We start from the raw sequence: 12,369 nt of genomic DNA, 5'->3' as shown, positions 1-12,369 counted from the left end.
ATGTGGTTACATGAACACATAAGAATGATATTTCATTAATTTATCATCACATTAGGTTAAATGATAATTTTTTAAATTGATAGTTATTGTATTTAATGAAGGAAGTACTGTCTCTCTGTAAAAAGTAATGAGGTCCTGTCATTTGCAACAACATGAATGGAATTGGAGATCACTATGCTAAGGGAAATAAGCCAGGCACAGAAAAACAAACTTTGCATGTACTCACTTAATTATGGGAGCTAAAAATGAAAATAATTGAACTCCTGGAGACAGAGAATAGAAGGATGATTACTAAAGACTGGGAAGGGTAGTAGGGGGATAAGGGGGGAAGTGAGGATAGTTAATGGGTACAAAAAATAGAAAGAATGAATAAGATCTAGTATTTGCTAGGCATTTGATAGTAGCTGTGGACTCACCATGTATTAGTCTTATTGTGTTCAGTTACATTTCTTTTATACTAATATGTTTAGAGTTTTATCATGAAAGGATATTGAATTTTGTCAGATGTGTTTTCTGTTTATGTTGAATCGATCATATGATTTCATTCTTCTCTCTGGTAATGTGATGTATCACATTTATTGAGTTGCATATGTTGAACCATCTTTGCATTCCTGGAATAATTCCACTGATCATAGTAAATTATCTTTTTAGTATGCTATTGAATTCAGTCTGCTAGTATTTTGTTGAGAATTTTTGCATGTATGTTTCTCAAGGATAGTGTCCTGTAGTTTCCTTTTTTTCTTGTGTTTTTTTTTTTCTGGTTTTGATATCAGGGTAATAATGCTGGCCTTGTAAAATAAGTTTGGAAATATTCCCTCATCTTTAAACTTTTGGAAGAGTTTCAGAATTGCTATTAGTTTGCTTTTTAATGTTTGGTAAAATTAGGCAGTGAAGACATCGGGTCCTGGGCTTTGTTTTGATGGGAGGCATTTTATTATTTATTTTGGTCTTCACAGTCTGGGAAATTCTTTTCTGGGAACACTCTTAAACTGTAAGCTTGCTTATAATTTTTGGGCAGGTTGGGTGGCATTGTCCTTAATCCTGTGACCACGGCAGCTGTTGCAGTGCTAGGTGGTACCCTAAACCCAAGACTGCTGTGGTCAGTGCATCTTGGGGCTGGAATCCTGGTGACTGTTGAGGCTGGTGCAGCACTGGAGTATACTCAAAGTCTACTGCCACTAAGGCCTGATTTGCCCAGAGCCCAAGACCAATGTAGTCAGCCATCAGTAAGGCAAGAAATCAGGTACATTTTGCCGTGCCTATAGGTTCGTGCCTGGCACCAGGGCAGGCCAGGAGACTCAGTCTGCAGGAGGCTCTGACCTCCGTCAGGAGTTACCAGCCCAGATTCAGGGGCCATGAGGGGCTGCCAGGTGCTAGATTTTACTATAGTAGTCCCAGTGTTGGGGACCAAAACATATCCTATGCTCATTTTATTTTCTTTTTACAAAGCAAATGGTGTGTCTGTCTATGATGTGTTTCCTGGGTTTGGAGGAGAGGTGATGTGGGTGATGTAAAGTTGCTCTTCTTACTCTCCTCAATGCAGCTTTTCTTATTACTATGCTCTAATCAGGTGCTGCAAACTCCACCTGGTTTCCTTAGCTCTTGTGAAGATATTTTTGTGCATGGATATTTGTTCAAATTGATGGTTCTCTGGGGAGTGATCCCTGGAGAATCCTATTCAAACATCTAGCTCCACTCTCCTACATTTCTTTTGATGTATCATAATTATCATGACTTAAGATTTACTCCCTATAATTGAAGAAACTCTTCTACACTGAAACACCCTTATAAATAAGGTGAACATACACACAGAATGTAATATATCTTGTCCAGTATATGTATATTCATTCTTTTCTTTTTTCTTTTTTTTTTTTAATACAGTGTCTTGCTCTGTCTCCCAGGATGGAGTGCAGTGGCAAGATCTTGGCTCACTGCAAATTTCACCTCCCGTGTTCCAGCAATTCTCCTGACTCAGCCTCCTGAGTAGCTGAGATTACAGGAATGTACCACCGTACCTTGCTAATTTTGTATTTTTTGTAGAGATGAGGTTTCATCATGTTGGTCAGGCTGTTCTCAAATGCCTGACCTCAAATGATCTGCCTGCCTAGGCTCCCAAAGTGCTGTGATTACAGGCATGAGCCACTGCCCCAAGATTCATTCTTAAGGGTTCTATGTCAAAAATTCCCCATGAAGCTTATTAACATATAAATTTATTGACCTTTATCTTATGATTCTGATTTGATAATTCTGAAATTTAGCTGTGTCCCCTCATATGCAAAGCTGTGCAAGAAATTTAAATGTACGCTCAGTGAACAAGAGTTATCAGAAAGCAGAAAAAAATTTTTATAAAATGAATTTTTTATTTCCAATTATGTAAGAAACTTTCATTAATATGTTTCACTCAATGTATAATAATATCATAACACAAGGCATTCATTTTGTACACTAAAGAAGAATAATACTTAGAGTAAGGAGAAAGGGACATTTGTACAGAATCCGTGGAGTTTATAAATCAAATCCAGACTGAAAGCATATTAAATATGATACTCTGTCTCTCATTAAAAAATCGTATAAATTATATTAAGTGGAATAAAATTATTTTAATCTTATTCTGGTTAGCATTCAAAATATAAATTCATTGATAGTATTCATTTCATTCTTAGAGCAAAATTAAGAAATCATTAGAAAATTTTATTTTAAATATGATTGTTAGTTTAATTTTGATAACTTAGATGAAGAAAAGGATCTTTTAATCAAATTTCAGTTTTTCAAGATGAATTGATTGACTATACCCAACTATACCTGGAGGGCAGTGAAAGAAGACAAAGAATAAGAAAGTCAATTTTACTTCTCTCATCGTAATATTTTGCCTCATTCAAACTTATTTAACTTTTTTTAATTTTTTTTTCTAACTGCTGGAAACCATTTTTATTTCAAACTGTCTACCTGCTTAATCCCAGGCAGAATTGGTAAATAACATTTTTTTTTTCTAACTTAACCTCACAACTCAAAGGGTTTCAGTTTATTTTTTAATTCAAAGCTCCCTAAATTGTATCTTGTTGTAATTCTTATGATTGCTTACGAACCTGTAACTCGGCTACCTACCTTTTCTTTTTCCTACATTTTCTTTTACATAATGGCAGCTTATATTAACTCTCTCCTCATTTACCTGTACTGTTTAAAATTACATTGTTTTAAAGGAATAGCACAGATTTGTCATGAATCTCTGTAGAGCAGTCTTCACATCCTTATTCCTCAGGCTGTAGATCAAGGGATTCAGCATAGGAATTACCAACGTGTAAAACACAGAAGCCATCTTATCATCAGTATCCAGTGAATGGTTACTTCGGGGCTGCACATACATGAATAGCAATGTCCCATAAAAAATTGTGACTGCCATCATATGTGAAGCACAGGTAGAAAAGGCTTTTTTCCTTCCTTCTGATGAACATATTTTTAAAATAGACAAAACAATATTGAAATAAGATACTAGAACTATAATCAAGGAACCAACCACATTTGTTGCTGCAGATATAAAGACAACTGTTTCTGGTAAGTAAGTATCAGAGCAAGATAATGCTAACAGAGGAACATTATCACAGTAAAAATGATTGATTATATTAGAAGAGCAATAAGACACAGAGAATACATAAGATGAAACCACAATAGCTGTAGAAAAGCCATAGAGGTATGTGAGGGAGACCAGCAGGAGGCAGAGCCGCCGAGACACCACCACCATGTACAGCAGAGGGTTACAAATAGCCACATAGCGGTCATAGGCCATCAAAGCCAGCATGATTACCTCCGATACAATAAAGAACAAGAACCCTCCCAGTTGGGTGGCACATTCATAGAATGAGGTAGTTTTCTTCTTTACTAAAAAGTTAATCAGCATTTTAGGGGCAATGACAGTAGAGTTACCAAGATTAATGAGAGCCAGATGTTGCAGGAAAAAGTACATGGGGGTTTGAAGTCGAGAGTCAACACTGGTGAGGGTGATGATGCCCAGGTTCCCTGCCATGGTCAGCCCATAGAGCACCAGAAAGACCAGGAAGAGGGGAATCTGGAGCTCTGGACAGCTAGAGACACCTGTAAGAATAAACTCAGTGACTCTGGTGAAATTTTCAGGAGCCATGTCAGAGTTTGGAAATTCATCTGTTTGGGGGAAAAGAGAGGTTAAAAACTTTAAAGAATTATTTGCAGGACTGCCCTTATATGGCTAGGACAATTCCCTGATAACATTTCTTTGAATTGTTTATTACTCTAACTCAGTTATTAAACTCAAGCTTCTAGGTCTAATAAGTAAACTTGGTAATTATTTCAGAGACAGAAAGATCAAGTATGGAAACGTATAGTAAATTAAATAGATGATCCAGCATCATGAAACATTTTGAGGATTTACTTCCTCACAGTCTTATTGAATTATGAGTACATTCTTAGTTTGCAAACATTTGAAGCCACAATTAATATTTTATATCATTTGCATTAGGCATGAGAAAGGCTTGAGGTCATTTTATGTCTGCAAATAATCCAATTTCTAAATTTGAGACTTCTTGCTTTTTCTTAGGAATGGGTGATTCTAGGTACTATCCTAACCCATTTTCTTTATTCATTTCATCCTTGTATAATGTGTATTATGCACATTTAACTCATACATTTTACCATCCATGTCTGTTTGCTTTTTCTCTCTTTTTTAAATTAACTCTGACTAAAATACATGGAGATATGCCCTCACATTTATTTTTCAGGTGACAATTTTTTTTAGCTTTCAATGTATAATATTGGTGAAAATTGTATTAGTTTTGTAATTTCTTGGCATTATGCTTTACTGGATACTACTTTCTGTTCCTTCTTTCTCATGTCTTTTTGTTGGTTCTGTTTCACAAGTTTTTACAGCTCCTCATAGTTTTCACTTTGTATTTTATGTTTAATCACAATTTTTATTTATATAATTAGATATTATTTTTACCACTTATAAAGTATATCTGCTCTTTCAGTTGATTTTTATTCATCTTTTTTATATTTTTATATTTTTATCACTGTAATGAGTAAATATTGTTATTTTATAGACTTTCTGTGATAACTACAATGCTCATATTTGACATAGAATTTAAATGCTATTTTAATATGGCTAAATATTTCCCTTGAGTTCTTTATATTTAGGATAATCTTCTACCCCTAACTAAGCCAACTGGAGTCTCTGCTACAATTTATAGTTCCCCTGTTGTGGACACCTGGCCCAAAGAAATCCTGTCATAGTCACTTATTTAAAAATGTGGAGTTAAGTTACAGAGAGTTAACACTATATCATTTAAAATGCCTGAATTTTAAAATCCCAGCGTTGTTTAAATTTTGTCTCCTTGTAAAAAAAAAGATACAATGAAAAGAAAAATAGAAAACTATCCTGCAGTGTGAAAAAAGAATGAAATGAACCAAAATAATTCCTAACATTGTTAATATCCGATCTCAGTTTGATTCTCAAACCAAACATCACACTTTTTCTTGTTTTTCAAAATAATCTTCTTATTTATTTATTTACCACCTGTTTATTGAATTCTTACTCTGGTAACGTGCAAACTTCACATAAACTAGTTATCCCTTGTTTTATGGACCTACTATTCCAATGAAAGGAAACATACAAAAATCTGGTAAAGAAATGTAGAAACAAGATTATTGCACATTTCAATAATAAATAAGGAAATTAAATATGAAGATACATTATGACAACTTGGGAGAATATTTTCACATGGTATGTTATGGGAAGGTCTTTTTTAATTTTAGCAGTTTCTTTTTAGTTTTAATTTCTTTTTCTTCAACTTTTATTTTAAGATGGGAAGCCCTTCTTGAGAAGGTGACATCTGTATTGAGACCTAAAGGATCTGAAAGAACCAGATGTTTAATGAATCATAGGAAGAACATTCAAGGATTCTAGTGGAGAATGTATATGCTGAAAATACTGGTATGAGGTAGAAAATAAGTTAAAGCATTTAGTTTTTGAGGGGGTAGGGGGTCTTAATGGAGGACAGTGTGAATAGATTATAATAAGGAAGAATTAGGTCACAGTGATTATTTGAATTTTATTTATTTCTTAATTTTTTTTAGTTGCTGTTCATAAGTTTATTGTCTTTATCTGAAAAATCCTCATAGAAAATTGTTTGGTTTAGCTTTCAGCATCCTGCTCCTGAGCTCTGAGGAAGCTTGCCTTCTTTCGAGCTACCCAATCTTTCTTCTGAGCAAGGGACATTCTGGGATGGTTCTGCCTCTTCTTCATAACTTCTGTCTTGGGCTTCTTTTCATAAACTGGATTTTCTCCTATAGCAGCATGAGCTTTCTTATACGTCTCCTCCATCATGTCTGGAGTTATGCTGTTCTTTATATATTGAGAGAACTGTTTCTTGTAAGCATCTTCATCTTCTTCCATTAAGTAGCGCTAGCAACTAAGCTGCAACATTCTGGCCCATGATGTCCTTCCGGTGTACTTCTGCATTAAATCCCTTGCTTTCAGAATCATAATCAGGGAATTGTTTGGTACTGTGAGGGATAGACAAGCCTCCAACCGCAGCTTCCTTCAGGGTGCCAAAAACTTTATTGCCAGTGGTAGTTCTGGCAAGGCCTGCACCCAAATAGCAGGTAAAGGCACCTGGCTGACCATCAATGCTTTCCACATTGTATTCATCACTAGTCGCCTCCACTTGGCCTTCATAGATCTTGTCCATGCCAAACCTATTGAGAAGCCTGCAGGCCAGCAGCAGGCAAGTACAATAGGCTGCAGCATAATTTGTCAGGCCAACCTTCACACCATATTTTGGCAGTTCGTGTGCATGTGCCGCGCGGACTATCACATTCCCCTCTATACAGCCATAAGCAATCTGACAAATGATATATCTGTTTATTACATGAACTATCATCCAGTATTTGGGTGTGTTGTATTTATTTTTATCCTGTATCACCAAGCGTTTCCGAGCATAGTAATCAGTTTTACCCTCTCGTCGTCTTCTAAATTTCACTTGGTATATCTCTTAAAGTAGGCCTTACTCTTAACAACTTTAACAAACTCCGTCCTGCTGAAGAGAGGCCCGCATCCACGGCTTGACAGAGACCTGCAGGCCTTGAATTGTAAGCCATGACAAAATTTTAAGATAGGTGAAAAACATTATTGGCTTTAAGTTTTAAAAAGATTACTCTTGTTGTAAAGATAATGAATTATAGGATTGAAAAAGCTCGAGGCAGGGCAGGAATGGAAATTTTAAAATAACCACAAAAAATGAGTTTAGAGGTTGATATGGGATTTCTGGTATAAGATAACGTGGGCTTCAGCTAAAATGGAGACACTCAATATCAAAACATGGTAACATTGACAGGAGCAGAAACAAGATGATCTCCTCAATGTAATTTATATAATAAGTTATATAACTTATATATGAGAGAATGACAGATGGGGGATTTATTTTGACTGGGGTAACTAACAGCTGTGCCATTTTTGAATATGAGACAATATGTTTTAAGATGGAGTAAGCAAAGTGATATTTTGAACATATTAAGCTTTATGTGCTTATGAAACATTTAAATAATAATTTAAGCAAGCTAATATTTAAGTCTGGAGGATATTGATGTGGTTAGGCTTGAGAAACATCAATCTAGATAATGATAAAGTATTTTTTTCATATGTCAAGATTTTATAAAAATTTATAATCAAAATTCCTAACTTGTTCTTCATTCAGTTTGCATCATTTCCCACTGAAGATCAATCCTATTTTTGAGACTCTAGTTTTCCTTTTATTTCCAAACACTACGTAACAGGTAGTTGTGCTTCTGTGTCCCCTCCCATGCCCTTTTCTTACCTTGCCTTCCCTGGGTTTCCAATTTTAATATTCTGTCTGTAGCTTTCAGTCTATTTGTTATCCCCCTTAGCAAACATGCCAACTATCAGCCAATGTAAATGCTTACAGATTGTATCAGATACTCTGTTTCTGCTGAAACCTGGTGCTGTACTGGCTTTATGATTTATTTGAAAATTCAATAATTAATTATTAAAAAGTGATTTTTAATCACAAAAGTCATATTCATCCTATGATTTTCTCTTTTAAATCTCAAGATTGCACTATTTGCTAATTTCTATGAATACTTTCCCATCCTATGCACCTCCCTCTTCTACTTCCTTAGAGCAAGCCTTCTATAACACTTTCATTAATTATTGTATCCTTCTTGGTTCACCATGTTATGATTCTTTATGGTTGTACTGGCAAGAATGCCAGTCATTAAGGATTTTTGTGCAATTAGGTTGTGTTATCCAAGGTATTCATTAGAATAATTGAAATATGCTTTTACCTCATTTATCATCAGATTCACATGACTTTTCTGGTCATTCACCCTACAAAACATGCCTTTAAGGCATATTTTTATTTCTGACCTTCCATGTCTTCACTGTTATTGATTCTTCTGAGATTGCTTTGTTTTTAGTGAGAGGTAGAATCTTCTCTGCAAAGTTTGTCCACCATTTGTAGCAGTGGCTCCATACATTTAAAAACCAGAAATGAGGGTAGCATCAAATGAGGCTAATTAACTTTAATTTTGTAGTATTTAAAAATGTCATTTCTGATTACTCTCTAGGCATGTTCAATCTTTTCAAAAATGCAAATGAATTGAGAGCGTAGAAAGATAGATGAGCTTTTGTTTGTTTGTTTTTTTGAGATGGAGTCTCACTCTGTCACCCAGGCAGGTTGGAGTTTTTTGTTTGTTTGTTTGTTTGTTTTTGAGACTGAGTCTCCCTGTTTCACCCAGGCTGGAGTGCAATGGCACGGTCTCGGCTCACTGCAACCTCCGCCTCCTGGGTTCAAGTGATTCTCCTGCCTCAGCCTCCCTAGTAGCTGGGATTACAGGCGGGCGCCACCATATCCAGCTAATTTTTGTATTTTTAGTAGAGACGGGGTGTTGACCAGGTTGGTCTCAAATTCCTGACCTCAGGTAATGCACCCGCCTCGGCCTCCCAAAGTGCTGGGATTACAGTAGTAAGCCAGCATGCCTGGTCCTTGATGAGTTGTCTTTAAATTAGCACAGTGTTTTACGGCTAATGGGTAACAAAAATAGACTTTAATTTAAATATATATATATATATTTATTCCCTATTACTAGTTTTAGTCAACAATAATAGCCTTTTAAAAAGTGTGTTTTTGAAATACTTTCATTGTACTTAGGGTTTTCTTTTGTTATACAATCTGAGGGAGAATGAAAAGAAAGTAAACTTACTTTTGAACATGCTATTTTAGGTTAGTTGAACTAAGAGCAACCCAGGCAATGAGTTTTTTTCTATATTCCTCTTGATAATGTTATAGAGATTTTGTCCCATTACACCAGGAATCTAGGGTTGGATAGTGTATCTTAAAGTCTTGCTCCTGCTTTTGGAAATGTCTTCCTGCAAATTGAAGTCCTTTGTTTTGATGTCTAATGGAAGTTCTTCTTTGCTATTTCTTCTGAAGTAAAATGCTAACAGATTTATTTTATGATAAGATAGATGATTTAACTAAACACTTTCCATTATTGCAGTGGATTACATATTATGCTTCTATATATATTTGCTTGTACATTACCACATTGAATGGATAATTTTTCTGAGAATACTTGCATTCTAAACTTGTATTCTCAAAAAGGGGCATCATTTTGACTTTGGGTAGATGTCTATCCAGTTTTCTCTCATAGGCTATCCTGTACAATATACAATTTTTATTGTAAATAATATTGCAATAATACAACCATGATATAAACAGTCTCTATGAGCAGCAATTCCTAGTTTCAGTAGTGACATAATTTTTTAAGTACATGAGACATAATGATGCCATTTCTATTTTGGAGACATAAATAGCTTGATCATATTTGATGCCCTCTATTCCTAAAAACAGTTATAAATCTGAAAAACAAACTTATTTATCTTATCATATTTCTGTATAATGAGCTTTAAAAGATCCAAAACCATACCTTGGCTCATTTTAAGTATGGTTTTGATCTTTAAAAGGTCATTATGGTCATTATACAAAAATAAGGTAAGTCTTTTCCACCCACCTCTAGAGGAGAATCTGCTTCAGGTTCTTAGAGTCTATACATGACTGGCAGTGAGAGTTGGTGGGGCTTTAAAAGCCTTTGAGACCTTAACTCTGAAGCACAGGTGACTCTAGTATCTACACATTGCCTTTCATGTCTTTGGGGAAGGTGCCTCCTGGGACCGGTTTCTTAACAAGGTCTCCCTCTAGAAAGTCAATCAGACACCCCATGAGTCTTTCTGGTAGTCTGTGTTTATTTTGTATTATTGAAGTGAGTTCAAGTTCATTACAGCTAAGGGACATGGGGGTTAAACTGCATCTTTTAAAGTAATTCACTTCCATTCGGAGATTCATTATTGCAAGATGAGATATGTAAGAGCTAGAAGCTGATGGTATCACAGCTTTACAAAACCTGTTATCTATAAATAATATATTTATTATGTCACTATCTGTGTTGTCTCCCTTTAACTCTTATTTCAAAGTATAAAACATAAATTCCCTGATGAACAAAGGCATTTTTTGAAACACTAAACATTTAGCATGTATGCATTTTTATCCATGTAATGACTAATGGAATTGTTTAGAAAGGAATATGCCTTGGGGAAATTATCATATTTAGGAATTAAGTCCCCTTTGTAGATCCAAAGATCTGCTTCTACAGGCCTTAAATTAAAGCAGAAAATGGAGTTATACAGCATGATGACATTTATGTACAGTATAAATCCATGACATAGAAAACTATTGTATGCTTTGTAAGAGCACAAGAAAACAAACAGATTTACATTGAGTTATTTTGTGGCAGTTTCCCGATGGTGGTGGTTGGGACTGGGTAAAGAAATTAAGATGAAAGGTACACTGAAGACTATCATAACAAAATACCACAGACTGAGTGGCTTAAACAGTGGAAATTTGTTTTCTCACAGTACTGAAGGATAGAAGTTCAAGCTCAAGGTCTCAGCAGGTTTGGTTTTTTCTGGGGCCCTCACCTGGGCTTGCAGAGGGCCACCTTTTCACTGTGTCCTCACATAGTTGTCCCTCAGTCTGTTTATGTGCCTGGTATATCTCCTTCTCTCTGTCCTAATCTCTCTTCTTATCAGGATGCCAGTTGTATTGAATTAGGACCCAGCTAAATGACCCTAATTAAATTAATTGCCTTTTTAAAGGCTCTGTGTCCAAATACAGTCACATTCTGAGGCACTAGTGATTAAGGCTTTAACGTATGAATTTTGAGATAGACCATCCAGTCCATAACAAGAAAGAATAAAACATGAATAAGAAAGAGGTTTTGCTGGCTGAATAATGAAAATTTGTCATGAACAGAGGAACATAATTATTCTAAACCTCTTATGTTAGGCCCAAAACAGCTGAAAAGATGGAATCTTCATTGGGAGGAAAACCCGCTTCTGGAAATCTGTTCTACAGAAGTAATATGAGTTACTTAAATATATAAATAAAGTCTTCATAAGATTATTTTTTCAGTGAGATAAAATACTGAAAACTACACAGTTTAGAAATTTGTTAAGTAAACTCTGGGATATGTTTAGTATATAATCATATATTCTTTACAAATTTTATTTATGTAAATTATATAGAAATTTGAGGAAAGCTTCTGAGAGGCTTAATACTAAAGATAGTATTAAAAGGGTAATGTTTTACTTTATGGTCACACTTTTATGTGGAATCTAAAACAATCAAACTCATAGAAGCAGACAGTAGAAGTGGTTGCTGGGGATGAGGAGTAGCAGCCACTTGGAGATGTTGATCAAAGAGTATAAAGTGTAAGTTATGTAATGTAGTATGTTAAATGTAAGTGTGTAATGTAAATTATGTAAGTTAAGTGTAAAATGTAAATTATGGAGGATAAATAAGTTCTGGAGATCTAATGTCCAGCATGGTGATTGTAGTTAACAAGACTGTATTGTGTACTTGAAAATTGCTGACACAGTAGGTCTTAAATGTTCTTACCACACACACAAAACTTAACTACATGAGATAATAGATATGTAAATTAGCTTCATCTTGGTAATAATTTCATAATATATATGTTTATGAAAACATCACGATGCCAAGTGCAGTGGCTCACGCCTGTAATCTCAGCACTTTGGGAGCCTGAGGCAGGAGGATGGCTTGAGCCCAGGAGTTCAAGACTAGCCTGGTCAACATAGCAAGACGCCCATGTCTACAATAAATAAATAAATAAATAAATAAATAAATAAATAAATAAATAAATAAAACAAAATAAAAAATTGTCATGTTGTACACCTTACATATATACAATTTGTTGTGCCTATTATAACTCAATAAACTTAGAAAAATAAATAAAAGGGCCATATTA

The 12,369-nt window shown here is 35.0% G+C and overlaps 1 protein-coding gene and 1 pseudogene across 1 annotated transcript; both read right to left on the bottom strand.

The window, feature by feature from the left end:
* Positions 1 to 2,870: 2,870 nt before the first annotated feature.
* Positions 2,871 to 10,091, bottom strand: OR8J1 (olfactory receptor family 8 subfamily J member 1). Its single transcript, NM_001005205.3, has 2 exons — positions 10,057 to 10,091; positions 2,871 to 4,155 (listed from the first exon to the last, which is right to left on the bottom strand). The coding sequence occupies exon 2, from the start codon at positions 4,133 to 4,135 to the stop codon at positions 3,185 to 3,187; it is 951 nt and encodes a 316-aa protein (NP_001005205.2). The 5' UTR covers positions 4,136 to 4,155; positions 10,057 to 10,091; the 3' UTR covers positions 2,871 to 3,184.
* RPL5P29 (ribosomal protein L5 pseudogene 29) lies at positions 6,100 to 7,109 on the bottom strand (annotated as a pseudogene).
* Positions 10,092 to 12,369: the final 2,278 nt, after the last annotated feature.

The sequence above is a fragment of the Homo sapiens genome, chromosome 11 (genome assembly GCF_000001405.40).
Source record: "Homo sapiens chromosome 11, GRCh38.p14 Primary Assembly".
Lineage (NCBI taxonomy): Eukaryota > Metazoa > Chordata > Mammalia > Primates > Hominidae > Homo > Homo sapiens.
The sequence above is the reverse complement of the archived record's forward strand: the minus strand, read 5'-3'. Positions and strand labels throughout refer to the sequence as shown.

What these genes read in the sequence shown, in the direction of transcription:
- OR8J1 (NM_001005205.3), bottom strand. Translation starts at nt 4,135, where the DNA reads ATGGCTCCTGAAAATTTCACCAGAGTCACTGAGTTTATTCTTACAGGT.